We start from the raw sequence: 15,597 nt of genomic DNA on the forward strand, positions 1-15,597 counted from the left end.
GCCGGGCACAGTGGCTCATGCCTGTAATCCCAGCACTTTGGGAGGCCGAGGCGGGTGGATCACAAGGTCAGGAGTTTGAGACTAGCCTGACCAACATGGTGAAACCCCCAACTCTACTAAAAAAATACAAAAATTAGCTGGGTGTGGTGGCACGTGCCTGTAATCCCAGCTACTTAGGAGGCTGAGGCAGGAAAATGGTCTGAACCGGGGAGGTGGAGGTTGCAGTGAGCTGAGATCGCACCACTGTACTCCAGCCTGGACGACAGAGTGAGACTTCGTTTCAAAAATAAATAAATGAATAAAAATTAAAAAAAAAAAACAAACCAAAACTGTTGTGGTATTTGACTAATGGCCAAACAGATGGTTGAGTACTGCATTCAATCATTGTCTTGTTGCAATCTGGAAGATTCTTTGCTGGTGGGTGGTTAACACTTTGTAGTTTTCAAAGTGGAAACACAAGATTTTATAATGAAATTTCAAATATCTTTTTAATATATTTTTTCTTGGGATGACAATAATAATATTACTATGATAGTATTAACTTATTTCTATTGCTTTTACTAGTTAAAAAAGTAATGGGCATTCTTACAAAGTTAAACAATATAGAAATATACAAAGCAGAAAATTAAAGGCTCTCTAATCCCATTACCATATACCCACCTGCAGACAGAATGGGAAGATTTAGTCATAAATACAAAGACAATACATGGAAAAAAAATAGACAATTATTAACTCTAGGAAAAAACGTAATCATAGCATATTCCTTGGCTCAGAAATGAAAAGTATTTACTTGGTTATTAAAAAAGATATATATGGATTCCCCCAAATTTTTAATACAGCCACATTGGGAATATTGAGGAAGGTAGGAGAAGTATAAGAGATTGAATAATTCTCCTTTATTCTTTTATTAAGTGACTGAAATATATGTACTTTATTTAGCTACATGTGTGCACATGTAAGTAGTTTCTTCTAGGGAATGGAATTTGGTGCTATGGGTAGGGCAGACAAATAACACCTGTGTTTGATTTTAAGCCTTTTAGAGCTATGTTACTTTATATTTTATAGGTATTTATAATTTATTTTATAGGTATTTACAATTTATCCAGATTGGGATAAAGCTACAAGAAATATGATGACAAAACACCCATATTTAAAGACAAAATTCTCTTGAAAAGTTTATTAATATAAGTAACAATAAATCATTCAACTTTTCGGTCTTCAGGAAGTTTGTTTTAAGGATTAATTTCAGAAGTCCTCATGTAAACAAATCAGGCATGAATAAAGCCCTTATAATGAACTTTTCAAATAAATTTTTAAAATATCTTTTTTCTTGGGATGACAATAATAGTATTAACATGATAGTATTAATTTTTCTTATTTTTATTAAAATTAGCTCTTCAAGATTGTTACTAACAAATCTTGATTTTTATTACTGTGCTGGGGCAAGATTTTAATCACTAAGTTCTTCCTCATCACTGAAATATGTGCTTTTCTTTATCCTTGGGCGTCTTGAATCATCTGATGTTGAGGGGACTCCTGAACTGGGTTTCCATTTTTTTTGTTCTTCTTCAATTTTGGCTTGCTGTGATTCAAAAAACAAAACAAAACCAATAACCTGTTTAATATTATTTATGGTTCATTAATTCAAAACATGGCAAAAACATACCACAAATGCCATTACTTCCCACCCTCCCAGTCCATGCAGACAATAAGATCTGCTCCCTTCCCCTGAGTTCTGTCTCATCTCAAAATCTTACACAAAATTATCCTAGGCAATTTCTTAAAAAAATCTTTTCTGTTGGGCTATATTCACTTTGAGCAAATAGTTCTGCTCATTTCTTTAATGAAAAAAGATTAAGATAGTAAGTGTTGTGGGGCCCTTAAAATCTAGGAAGAACCAATGGGAACTTTTCATTCACACTGGCTAAGTACCTCAGAGAAACAGCTTGTCTCCTAAGGCTTAGGAGGTTAGGGGGAAAAAGAGAGGTTGCCATGAGGTGATCAATGAAGTAAGCAAGCACTATAAACCAAGTCAACTATTGTATGATGCCTTTTAAAAGAACAATTTAATACCTGGAATGCTATGGCCTGACTGAGGCTGTCAAGAGCAGGATCCTCCCCTTCATCTTCACTTTCTTCTACTTCCTCACTTAAATAAAGAAAAACAAATTGGAATGTAACCAACCAATAATCAAAAGCAACCAACCAAAAGACAAAAGCAACATGATGATGTATTTAGTAAGAATAATATACATACATTTCTTCTTCTGGTTCAGGAGCTTTCTTTTTTTTCTTTTTTTCTTTCTTCTTTGGAGGCTCACGTTCTCCGAGCATATTTTTCGGACAGGCATAACTTAAGTGTCCACTTTCCTTTTGTTTCCCATTAAAAAGGAAAGGAAAAATACCATATTTGATGTTATTTATAAAAACTTGCCTGGTACCTTATTACTAAAAAGTTTTCAAATTTAAAAAGGAATATTCCCATACTGGGACTATACAGAAGACATTAATGATAAAACCCAGTACTTTAATATTTAGAAGGTGATATTATAACTCTCAGTTATTTTAACATTTAGGACTATTTAGTAGTTTTACTAAGAGTAGTGGTAGTAGTCTTCTTTCAAACATTTAAATCTCAAAATTCAAGATATAAAACAGTTTGGTCGGGCGCGGTGGCTCACGCCTGTAATCCTAGCACTTTGGGAAGCCGAGGTGGGTGGATCACCTGAGGTCTGGAGTTTGAGACCAGACTAACCAAAATGGTGAAATCCCGTCTCTACTAAAAAAAAAAAAAAAAAAAAAAAAAAAAAAAAAATTAGTTGGGCATAAGTGGCACACACCTGTAGTCCCAGCTACTCAGGAGGCTGAGGTAGGAGAATTGCTTAAACCCAGGAGGTGGAGGTTGCAGTGAGCTGAGATCATTCCGTTGCACTCCAGCCTGGGTGACAAGAGCAAAACTCCGTCTCAAAAAAAAAAAATCAAAATTTAAATGGATCATTTACCCTAAATGTAAACATCTTAAGTTATTGATAAAACGAGGATAAAACTATTCCTGTTAATTTCCAAGATGTTGCTTAATACTCTGTTGGGCTGGGCAGGCTGAGGCAGGTGGGTCACCTTAGGAAGTGAGTTCAAGACCCGCCTGGCCAACATGGGGAAACCCTGTCTCTACTAAATATACAAAAATTAGCTGGGCTTGGTGGCATATGCCTGTAATCCCAGCTACTCAGGAGACTGAGGCACAAGAATTGATCGAACGCGGGAGGCAGAGACTGCAGTGAGCTGAGATTGTGCCACCGCACTCCAGCCTAGGCAACAGAGCAAGACCCTGTCTCAAAAAACAAACAAAAAACCAAAAAACAAATGGAAAATTTCTTCCTCACTTTTCCTATGAATTACTTCCGTTTTTTCCCTTTTATATCCTGACTACACTTGCACTATCCAATTACAGTAGTCACTAGCCAGCCAATGTGGCTACTGAGAACTTGTCTGAATTGATACGTACTGTAAAGGTAAAATACACATTGGATTTCTGAAGACTTAGTAACATACGTGGCTTGCATTATATTCTCATTTGACAATGCTGGACTAGGCTATTATTCCTACTTAGCTAGAACATTGATTTGTAAAACATAAGAGCTCAACTATAATCTGGACATCAGCTCACTACAATTCCATTTAAGAGGTTATGTCAGGGTAGGGTGTGGGGACTGAGCCAAGGTTAGAACAATAGAAGGGAACAATAATCATGCTTTTCCAGTATATTTGACAGAGCAGACAGACTGTGCACTTTGTATACCTAGGACATAGCCCAACTTAAAGAGGTTACTTACTGTTAATGAGCTGCTGAGAAAATAGAGACACATATCTGAAACTGTTTTGGAATAATATTATAGCAAAAAAAAATTAACATATCCCATACTAAAAAAGGATTTAATGAAATAACTTGAGAAAAACCAGGCTAGGTCAATATAAAAAAGTTTTTTTTGGAGGGAGGGAAATTAAATATAAAAATGTAAAAAATATAACAACTCTATGGATCCATAAACCAAAAGGAACCGATTAACAGATTCATCTAGGATTTCTCAGATAATTTAATATTTACTGTGAATATGAAGATATATACTAATCTGAATATAACTACCTTCCCTCCCTCCCTTTCTTTCTTTTACAAAACTCAAAACTTTGGAAAAGTTTCTAAAGTGTTTACTTAAGAGGTTTTAGAATCATAGGAATTGACAGAATCAGTATGTATCCAAGCAACTGCTTGCTCACTCTTTCTATTCATCCATCCATCAGTCTGTTTATTTAGTTATCTTTTTTGTCGGGGGTATGGGGAGTGACAGTGGGGTAGAGGACCTCAAGCCATTTCCTTGCATCTTCCATGTGATTTTGTAGCCAGGACGGTATCTTTCAGTGATTCTCTCCCCAGTTCCCCATTACTACCTCTGGACTCTGTTTTTTAAGTATTTTATTTTATGTTTATTTTTATTTTTGAGACAGAGTCTCCCTCTGTTGCCCAGGCTGGAGTGCAGTGGAGTAATCTCGGCTCACTGCAACCTCCACCTCCTGGGTTCAAGCGAGTCTCCTGCCTCAGCCTTCCAAGTAGCTGGGATTACAGGCACCTGCCACCATGCCTGGCTAATTTTTTTTTTGTATTTTTAGTAGAAACTCAGTTTCACTATGTTGGTCAGTCTGCTTTTGAACTCCAGACCTCAAGTGATCCGTCCACCTCAGCATCCCAAAATGCTAGGATTACAGGCGTGAGCCACTGTGCCCGGCCTGTTTCTTAAGTATTTTTATGGTCATTTTACAAACTTACACCTGTGAGAACCAGACTAAAATTCTCTTGGTACCAATACAGACCTTATACAAAATTATTCTATGGCTGTCTCTCTCTCTTCATCACCAAAACTTTAAATGGATAATGACAGATCATGAAGAGAACCAAAGAAGAAAATGTGGGGATAGTTCAGTTACAAAACACTAGCAATACTAATAGGAAAAAATAAAAAACTTCAAAACACAATATCCCATAGAGGATAAAGTCACATGATAATGTTGCTATTGAACTGTGACTTAAAAACTGTTAAAGAAACAGGCAATATCCTATTAACAAAAATTTATGAGTTACGAAAATCTTGCAAGACAGTGACATAAGTAATCAGTCTAACACTTTTAAAACTAGTGATTTTCAAAGATTTAGGAACTAGAGAAAATACCACTTTGTATTACCCAACTCAGGTTATCTTTACACATTGCATTTCAATTGAATTTACTTTGATGAGTTTAGAGACCCTAACAACTAGGCCAGGCACCATGGCTAACACCTGTAACTCTAGCACTTTGGGAGGCTGAGGTGGGAGGACTGCTTGAGCCCAGGAGTTTGAGATTGGCCTGGGCAACATAGGAAGACCCTGCCTCTACAAAAAAATTTAAAAATTAACCAGGGTGTGATGGTGCATGCCTGTGGTCCCAGCTACTCAGACACTGTGGTGGGAGGATCAGTTGGGCCCGGGAGGTAGAGGCTGCAGTGAGTTGTGACTGCATCACTGCACTGGGTGACAGAGGAAAACCCTATCTCAAAAAAATAAATATTAAAAAATAAAGCATTTTCATAATCTGGTTTAGCCAGTCAGAAGTTTTGGTGAGCAAAAATAAAAGACTGATGTGAAAAGTATCTTAAACTATGGAAAGTTCCATTAAGTTTTAGGTTTACTTACCCCACATTCATAACACTTAGATTTATCAAAGTAGTTTCGCCTTCGGATGAACTCAGCTGCTCTTCCATTGTCAATAGCAATGCTTGCTTTTATCACTCTACCAAATAACTAAACAAGAGAAAAATGTAAATGTAGAATGTATTTCACTGAAACCTAAAATTAATTATTTAATCAATTTTCTCAAATCTTCAATTCCAGTTTATTTTGGATTTTTTAGCAATTGTCACTTAGGTGTGATAAATTCTATTCTGTAGTATTCTTATTCCTGAGATTCCACCAATGTTTTGAGAACCCAGTAGTTTGACCTCTTTTCTTTCTATAAGTTAGATATCTTAAGAATCTACTGATATCTGCTAGACCTGATGATCCACTATATCCCCACATTTTTGGCCTGGATGAGCATAAAGGCTTTGGGGCTAAAAACCTTGATGGAGATGAATAGCTTACCTGTTTGTTGTTTATTGCCCTGGTACAGTTTTGTGCAGAGTCTTTATCCAAAAATAAAATAAATGCAACCCCTTTACTCTTCCTGGTATCTTTATCTTTCATGATGGTAACCCTTAAAGCATAAACAAAGAGTTAAAAATGAGGCAGCAATAAATAAAACAGATACTAATACTTGAAAAATTCATTTTAAAAAGGGCTAAAAATTTATAAGATAAATTAATACATTTGAAAAATCAGCTATCTCTTCAAAGTCAAGGGATATCAAGAATGGAAATGGGAAAGGGTGATACTGATTTAACAGAAGTGAGCACAGCTATGATTAGGAGTTAATCAGAGATTGAAGGGTGAAGTAAAGAAATTACAGAGACAATGAAATCTTAAAGTGTAACCACAATCCCTCTTCCATGCTAACTCCCTCACCTTGCAAAACAAAACAAAATAAAGGTATACTTTACACAAAAAGTAAAATGATTTATTTATTTTTCTAAGTGTTAGAATCAAAGTATATTCTTAATATTCTTTTAAAGAATCTTCAGAAAAATAAGGAAAAAAACCCTCCAGAGCTGGTTGTGGTGGTGCGCACCTGTAGTTCCAGCTACTTGGGAGGCAGAGGCAGGAGGATGCTTGAGCATGGGAGTTTGAGAACAGCCTGGGCAACATAATGAGACCCCGATCTTTAGGGAAAAAGAATCTCCAGTTCTGTGGTTTTTAGCCATACCACCCACCAGGGTGTACCTGAGTGACAAGGAGAGTTATGAGAGCACAGAGCCTGCTCTTTCTCCTGCCCCATCCACATCCCTAGTCATGGAGGCCCTTGCCCACCGTATGTCATTTAACATAGTTTAAAAACAATGTTCAACAGGGCTCTTTGGAGAAATAGCGGATTCCAAGGCTACAGCAGGGCAGGTACAAGAGGAGCTTGGAACATCTTATGCCAGAAGGTAAGAGAGTGCAAGAGTGCGTGAGCGAGTGAGAGAGAGAGAGACGGAGGGAGGAATGAATGAATGAATGATGGGGCCAAGAATACAGCAGCCAGCTGGAAGGAGCTCCCACTGGCCAAATCAAGGACAATTTGAGCATCAAAATAATTCATTACAGTAATAAATTATAAGCCACAGAGAAGGTAGGAATTTATAATTCTTACTGATAAAAGACCAATAAATAAGTGGAGGAGATGGGAGGGAAGGCTCTTGCTTACAACAGAATGCCAAGGGATGACTGGTGAATGTAGAGGGAATGCTGGAGTTGGAAAAATCACCAATTTGACAGAAATATTGAATAAGGTAGTTGCTTTATGTTTTGGAATTTTTCGTAATGTTTGTGAAAGTTATCAGTCTTTTTTTTTAAAGTAGTATTTCAAAAGAAGTATTGGCTTTCTACATCATCCTCAATTAATGATCTCTCATCTGTTGCCTCTTTTCCAATTCCACTGCTTTTTTCTTGTCCATAGGGGCATTACTGTTTTAACAGTCTATTCTTATTGGTTCCTTTATGGTAATTTTTTCTCTTATAATTTTCTCATATCCTTAAGTAGTCTTCTACTTAAGGAATAAATAAAATCACACCATTCCTTTGTTCAAAAATCTTTGGTTCTGTAAGTTGCCTATTCTTTGTCCCACTGTCAGTATCCTTGATGATTTGGCTCCCATCTCCTTCATCTTTCACTGCTCCTTCCCACGCACACACTATGAAGTCTACCCAAAAGAAACCACTCAATGCTCCAGTAGCATGGCCTGTATTTCCCCAAATTTGTGCCTTTGTTCATACAGCTTCTATCTTCTTCCACCTCTGAATCACTGCTCATTAAAATTTTCCTCATTCTTTCGGGGTTCAGGTCAATGTGTCAGTTTCTAATAGCTTCAACTGGATATAATTTCTCCTCCGTTATGCTAGTCTCTGCTGAATTGTGTTATTCATAAACAATGCCTCATCTCATCTATTTTAATGTAAACTCCTTTAAGGCTGTCTCTGTAATCCATATGTGCCCAGCTCAATATGTTGATTGATAGATATACCTTTATATTCAATGGGAAAGACAGACCAAAAAAATGGGAAAAGTAGTTTCTAAAAGAGTACATTGTGTGTGTTCATTCATTCGGTCACTCAGTCACTCTGTTAGCCTCAAGCCCATGTGCTAAGCACTAACAGTAGTTTTTACCCTCAGGAGAAATCTTACAGTTTAGTGGTAGAGACAGACCAACAAACCAACTATCATACAATACTTTGATAGAGATACCTTCTGTGGTAACAGAAAAAAAAAATTACATCAGAGATTTAAAAGGACAAATCTACTGTGACTCCCATGTTTCTGGCAAGGGAAAAGAGGTAGATAATAGCACCATTTCCTAATATAAGGTATATGATGTACTTATTTAAGCACATAATATGAAGCATACACTATTTTGGGAAACCTGAATGTCATCCATAACACCTCCTTCTTGTTCACAAAGTCCTTATACGCAAAGTAAGCATATCACTAAATAGTACCCACTTTGCTTCCTATACACATCACTATTACCCACTTTATTTCATAATGATCTCTGAAATCTGACCACCTCTCAAATCTGACCAGTCTCTATATCTCCACCTGTACTATTTTAGTACACATTTCTCCCCTGGGCTACAGTTTTAGATTCAGACTGGTCTCACTGCATTTGCTTTTTTCTTTTTTTTGCGATGGGGTCTTGCTCTGTCCAGGCTGCAGTGCAGTGGTGTGATCTTGGTTCACTGCAACCTCCACCTCCATCCGCCTCCTGGGTTCAAGTAATTCTCATGCCTCGCCTCCCAAGCAGCTGGGATTACAGGTGTGTACCACCAGGGCCGGCTACTTTTTGTATTTTTTGTAGAGATGGGGTTTCTCCATGTTGGCCAGGCTGGTCTTGAACTCATGACCTTTCAAGTGATCCTCCCACATCGGCTTCCCAAAGTGCTGGGATTACAGGTGTGTGCCACTGCACCCAGCTGCATTTGCTTTTGTTCCCCTCCAATCTAATTTCTACATTAAGCCAGAATAAACTTTAAAAAATTTAAATCATGTCACCCCTCACTTAAAATTCTTAAATGATTCCTGATATTCTTAGAATGAAAACCAAATACCTTGGTAACCTGACCAAGAAGTAAGATGAGGAACCTGCTTCCATCTCTGGAGCCACCTTGTGCTTTCTCCCCCTTACTCACTCATCTCCAGTCACATTGGCCTTCTTTCTATTTCTTGATCTCACTTTATTTTCTCTTGCCACAGGGCCTTTGCACAAGCTATTCCCTCTACCTGAAATATTCCTCCCTTATTTTTGCCTACTTAACTCTTACTCATCCTTTAGGTTTCCACTCAAAAAATACTGACCTAGGTAAGCCTTCCCTGGCTCTCTAGACTAGATAGTCTTCCCTGTTTCTAGGTGCTTATAACTCTCGTGTCTTTAACTCCATTGCAGTTTCATGGTTTAGGACTATATATTTATATGGAGATCCATTCAGAGATTCTAACAAAGTGGAAAAAGAAAAAAGGTAAAAGGGAGTGGGCTCTGAAATCTCACTGTTGGATTCAAATATTTTCTCCACCACTAGCTAGCAAGATGACCTTAGGTTTACTGTGTGCTTCAGTTTCATCATGTATAATACTGAGATGATAATAGTACCTACCTTAAAGGGTAGTTGTGAGAATTAAATAATACACATAAAGAGATTAGAACAATGCCTGGCATATATATGTGCTCATTTAAGTATCACATACCATCATCATTACCAGTGTTTGGACTGATGACAATGACTTTTTAAAATCTGAACACCCAAAAATTTACACAGAAGCATTTTTGATAATGCTTTTTTAATAGCAAAGTAACTGTAAAAGAAGTTAGTAATTTCAAGATGCAAAAGAGCTTCAACTGTTTAATATCCATTTATGGAACACTAGAAGAAATTAGCCAAGATAAATATGCTCAAAATTCTTGGGATTTTAAATTTATATCAGAATCTATATTGGTTACAAGAAAGTTAGGATGACAGTATCCTGTTACTTTTTTGCCCCATAATATAGTTGCTTGATTTAAAACAGTGAAATACGAGAAGTTCAAGTTCTTTTTATTGTTCCTAACCCTCAGCCCTGTTATCATCCATTACCATTTTTGCATGTTTCTAGTCTTTCCAACGATCTCCAAGCTATCTCTGAAGGAAGATAATATGTTTTCTATTTAAAAGACTCATAGCATCCTGCAAGTCAGATGCACTGAAATATTTGTTTTTACACTATTTATATGAAAAAAAACAAAACAAAAAACCACCTATTTATTTGAAAGTAGGTTACTTATAGTATACTTGATAACACACTTCCTAGTAACCAAAATATTTGTTTACCATTAGCTATGAGGATGTATCTTTATAGCACATGGAAAGACATTTATGGTATGTCAAATTAAAAAAGAAAAGAAAATTGTATGTATGTAATAGTCTTTAAGAAAAATTGTCTACATGTTTATGTACATGGAAAACCAACTAAATTGTCATAAAAATGTTAATAGTATTTTCTTTATTATATCAAGCATGTTTTATTTTTAAAAATCTGTCATTAAAAAAATGTAGAAGCAAATTCAGATAAACTTTTAAATGAAGTTACAAAATTTAATGTGAATACTTACTTTACAACTTTGCCATACTTGGAAAATATCTGAAACAAAAGACCAAATATTTACAATTTATTTTAAAATCATAAAACATCAAATTTTTAGGTTGCAGACATTGACCAAATTCTTTGTTACAGTTTATGAATAATTTCAGCCTTCAGTCTATAAGACAGGCCCTAGGAAAAAGTTTTTTTTGGTTACTAGAATAATATACTTACTGTTGTTGGAGTCACATGTATCTGTCTGTTTCTAAATTTGACAATGGAGTAAATACAGAGAAAAAAACTCACTCTACACATGTGGTAGATCTAAGGCATACATACTGGACAGCTGCTGTGTTCCTGAGGTATACCCATGGCAACTATCAACTCCATCATAGTGCCAGATACACCTGTGCTTCAAATGTCAATCTTATGGAGCAGCACTTTTCCAATTCTACCCTCACCACTACCTTGTTATTCCTATTAAGCAATCCCTGTTTGAGAAGGCAAATCCTTAGACTGCTTTATTTAAAAAACAAAACAAAACCTCATAAAATAAGCTTTTATAATGAAAAATCCATTTCTATCAGTCTTCTTCCTCTGCCCACCATTAACATGTTGGTGGAACTTTATACTTGGCTCTCTCTTCTGTTACTTTTACTTTATCCTATGCAATCTCATTTATTTCTACAGTTCCAGCTCATTACCCATATACTAAGAGTTCCTATTATATAAAAAGTCTTTTAGAATGTGTTAGTATATGCAACCAATAATAACGAATTTTTTCGTTCTATGATTAAGCTGTATAATGCTGGAATGTAAAATAACTGGATAGCAGTGTTAGCAACACTGGGTTCTGAAGGCCAGTACAGTCTTCTATATAATACTTACTAATGGCTTCTTGTTTCATGCAGAGTGAAAGCCAGAGTCCTTACCATGATGTAAATAGGTCGTATAAGGCACCTCGAGTGGGCTTACCTAAGATTACCCCTCTTTTTCTGAAATGTTTGTCCTCTAGAATTTGCACAGGTGCCTCTTACTCGTTTCAGGTCTTTATTCAAAAGTCACCTTCTCAATAATGGCATTTCTGACCGCCCTATGTAAAATTTCACTTCCATTCCCAACTTAACGTTCAATAGCCCACCTTTCCTGCGTTATTTTTTCTCCTTAGCACCTAACATCTTAGCATCTCCTTAGTATCTAACACATAATTTGACTTAAATGTTCAATAAATATAGCTTCTATTTTTTTTTCTTTTTTTTTTTTGAGACAGGGTCTCATTCTGTCACCCAGGCTGGAGTGCAGTGGTGTGACCTTGGCTCACTGTCGCCTCGACCTCCTAGGCTCAAGCAATCTTCCAACCTCAGTCTCCCAGGTAGCTTGTAGAGGCATGGTGGCACACACCTGTATTCCCAGCTACTTGGGAGGATGAGGTGGGAGGATCACCTGAGGGGGCGGGGAGGCTGCAGTGAGCCATGATAGTGCCACTGCACTACAGCCTCGTGCCTCAGTGACAGAATTAGACTGTCTCAAAAAAAGAAAAAAAAAAAAAGGAAAAAAGAATTTGCCAGGGAGAACTATTTGCTTAAGGTTATCTGTATCTCAAATAGCAGTCACTCGATAAGATTTACTTACCCGGTACAAGTCATTGTTTGTCAGGGAAAAAGGCAAGTTGGATACATACACTGTGCTCTTACTTGGAGCCAATCCACCACTCATTTCTAAAAGTGAAAACAAACTTATCAGCAATCAGTCTAAACCAGGATTCTTTTTTTGTTGTTTGAGACGGAGTTTCCCTCTTGTTGCCCAGGCTGGGGTGCAATGGCGTGATCTCGGCTCACTGCAACCTCTGCTTCCCAGGTTCAAGCAATTATCCTGCCTCAGCCTCCCGAGTAGCTGGGATTATAGGCATCCACTACCATGCCTGGCTAATTTTGTATTTTTAGTAGAGACAGTGTTTCACCATGTTGGTCAGGCTGGTCTTGAACTCCTGACCTCAAATGATCCACCTGCCTCAGCCTCCCAAAGTGCTGGGATTACAGGCATGAATCACCACACCTGGCCTAAACCAAGTATTATTAATTCCAAATAAAACCAATACATCAGACCAGTCTGGGTATTATTTGGAAAAAAACAAAAAACAAAAACCAATAAAGTATTAACAATCACCGATTTAATTATGCCAGATGTGTACACCTTCCTTACATTTTAGGAAGTTAGGAACAATGACTCCAGCAGGCTGAATTAAGGAATTCCTTTTTCCCAGTCACCACTTAAAAAAAATTCTTTTTTGGTTCTTCTTCTTTCAAGTATTCTTTATACCAACACTTTCAGTGCCAGATTGTATGGGTAGGGAGACGGGTTTTGAACAGATGAAGGAAAAACCCTGAGGCTACTCCTAACTTCCACTCAGACCATGAGCAAAAAAAATGCTCTATTGAATATGTACTGTATATGTACATTACCTGCACCTTGCTCACCCAGGTCAGAAAGAGCATGGGGACTCAGACAGAACCTTAGCCACTGATTTTTGCTAATACACAGTCATGCTATGCTTAATGAAGGAGGTATGTTCTGAGTGTTACGTGATTTCACAGTGCAGACATCACAGGGTGTACTGAGACAAACCTAGATGGTCTAGCCTATTGCTCCTAGGCTACAACCTGTACAGCATGTTAATGTAGTGAATAATGTAGACAGTTGAAACACAATGGTAAATATTTACATAGCTAAACACAGAAAACGTACACTAAAAATATGGTACAATGTATTACACTCTTAGGAGACCACTGTGGTATATGTGGTTTGTTGTTAATCAAAAAGTTGTTATGCTGTGCATGCCTGTACTATGGCTGGGTACCTTTTTTGCTTGTCTTAATATTTTTTTTCTCTGGAGTGGTGTGTTAAGAGGAAAATTTTCTTTTCCCCTTTTAGTATGATGTTAAGGAGTAAATTTAAGCTTTATGTATCGACAATATAAACTTCTTTCGAAACGCTAATTTTGCTTATTGCCAAATTATGAAATGATACATTATATAAATAGGCTTGGTGCCTCGAAGAGACAGACCTGTAGGTATGTGTGTATATGTATATAAAGTTTACAAATGTAATCAGTAATTTTCACATCTTATCTTACAAAGTCAGCAAATTACCGTGAAAATATCAGGCTCAACCAAATTCAAATTTCTGATTTAAAAAGAGCGTGCGGTGTGTATTTGAGATGGGAAGATCAACCATCACAAATGGAAAAATACTGACTCTATGGCATGCCAATTCGTGAAGGAATGAGAAAACTGCCTCATGTTTGGTGTTATGGGGGAATTATTTAGAAAACTTCAGGAACTCAACATAGATACGTCGCTTTTTAAGTTTCTCATTTGAAACTATGCGTTACACGTTCTGCTGAGAGCCGCGAAGGCAGGCAGAGGTTAAGGTCCTGGAATAAAAAGGGTGGCGGGAGAGAGGGGCAGAGCGTTTTGGCAGCCGAGTCTGGGGAGGGGGCCCCGCAGGAGAGAAGGCCGCAGCTGAGGAGGCGTTTACCTTCAGGTGGGTTGGGCCTGGGAGACCAGAAGAGTGCGAGCCCTCGGCTCAGCTGGGGCTCAACCCCGACTCTTCGTAGCCGCTCGCAGCGGCCTTGGCATCACGAGTCCTGGGAGGGGTCAGGCGCGGAGAGCAGATAATAGCAGCCACGGTGCTTCTTCCCGACTGTTTGAGATCCGGGCCCCGAAGGCGGGCCCAGAGGCGAGCGCTTCGCTAACGTCATTGCGCGCGCCGGAAGTACCTACCTGGGATAACGGCGGCGAGCGGACGGCTGCATTTACGGGGTCTCCCGGAGGGCCAGAGTCGGTGAGCGCTTTTTACCTTTCCCAGAGATGGATGCAGAGCGTGTGCGGGCTGCTAAACGGGGGGGAGTGGGCGGGAGTTTTCTGTGTCGGGTCCTGGATTCTCCTGCCTTTGAATTGTGTGACAATTCTGCCCATGCGGTTGAGGGTGGAGAGACGCAGTGGAGTTTGGAATAAAGGGAAGTATTGAGTCTAAGATAGGGGTTCGCCTCTCTGTAGCGCCTTAATATGCAAGAAGACGACTGAGCTAGGTAACTTCAGTGACCCGAGAGGAGTCAGGAAGTCGGTAATTTTACTGAAGGTGTTCACGGTACCCAGCTATTAGGCACTTTGGGAACTACAAAATAAACAGACCTTTTATGTTTTGTTTTGTTTTGTTTTCTGGTGAAGATCTCAGTCTAGTTGGGGAGACGAGGTCAACTTGGGGAGAGTTGGATTCACAGAATGACTCATCTTTAGTATGGGTATGGACAAGTGTTGATCTTCTTGGCACCTTTTCTCTTCCTGTAAATCTATAATGGCTACGCACTGCTTTTTCTCTAAGAGGCCATAACATGCCCACCATTCCTACAGAAAAATCAGAACGTAATGCAAGGTAATTTATACTTCTGCCTACCAGCACATACAGACCAGGCCTCTAACCACTCCCTGGGAGCCTGCGTTCCAGCAGCCTGGAACCCACAGCCTCTCCTGGAGCCTGCACAATCAATCCAGAGTGAAGCCGATGTCTTCTATAGAGACGGAAGTACAATCCATCCAGGGCGCAGCTGAATTTTGAGAGGCCTGAATGCCTCCGTGGCCGACAGGAGACCGCTGGCACTAATTCTCTAGGCATACTTGTGGCCAGCCAAACTTACCATGCTTTACATCTCTGTTATCCTTGGTTACCGCCCAAGATGTAAGCTTCTGTGGTCTTCTGTGCTATAGTCTCATTTCCATGCTGCTTTGTGCTTTCTTTCGACTTAGGCTATCACTGCTTCTTCGTTTC

The 15,597-nt window shown here is 38.4% G+C and overlaps 2 protein-coding genes and 1 non-coding gene across 42 annotated transcripts in view, besides 1 other annotated feature; 1 reads left to right on the forward strand and 2 right to left on the reverse strand.

Annotated features, from left to right (window-relative positions):
- Window positions 1-469: 469 nt before the first annotated feature.
- Window positions 470-14,478, reverse strand: ZCRB1 (zinc finger CCHC-type and RNA binding motif containing 1). 2 transcript variants are annotated; one of them, NM_033114.4, is made up of 8 exons: window positions 14,308-14,478; window positions 12,403-12,488; window positions 10,802-10,830; window positions 6,171-6,282; window positions 5,724-5,831; window positions 2,258-2,370; window positions 2,074-2,149; window positions 470-1,582 (listed from the first exon to the last, which is right to left on the reverse strand). In NM_033114.4, exons 2-8 carry the CDS (start codon window positions 12,484-12,486, stop codon window positions 1,451-1,453), a joined length of 654 nt encoding a protein of 217 aa, NP_149105.3. In that variant the 5' UTR covers window positions 12,487-12,488; window positions 14,308-14,478; the 3' UTR covers window positions 470-1,450. The 2 variants fall into 2 exon arrangements, with proteins under 2 accessions (NP_149105.3, XP_016875613.1); XM_017020124.2 differs by lacking the exon at window positions 12,403-12,488.
- MIR7851 (microRNA 7851) lies at window positions 12,084-12,243 on the reverse strand. The gene has a single exon (NR_107005.1). It is a non-coding gene; the product is annotated as a microRNA 7851 (primary transcript).
- Window positions 14,174-14,223: an enhancer, noted in NCBI's record as "active region_6211". NCBI's record gives its function as "activates an Ori minimal core promoter by ATAC-STARR-seq in GM12878 lymphoblastoid cells {active_cell/tissue: GM12878}" and the evidence as "EXISTENCE:reporter gene assay evidence [ECO:0000049][PMID:35858748]".
- Window positions 14,479-14,550: 72 nt separating the features above from the next.
- PPHLN1 (periphilin 1) overlaps window positions 14,551-15,597 on the forward strand; it is a 122,455-nt gene continuing 121,408 nt past the window's right edge. For all 39 annotated transcript variants that reach the window (NM_001364826.2, XM_017019434.2, XM_011538459.2 and 36 more), the window contains exon 1: window positions 14,551-14,613. The gene's annotated coding sequence lies outside the window, so the exon portion shown is untranslated. The remainder of the gene's footprint in view (window positions 14,614-15,597) is intronic.

Source organism: Homo sapiens, chromosome 12 (genome assembly GCF_000001405.40).
Source record: "Homo sapiens chromosome 12, GRCh38.p14 Primary Assembly".
Taxonomy (NCBI): Eukaryota; Metazoa; Chordata; class Mammalia; order Primates; family Hominidae; genus Homo; species Homo sapiens.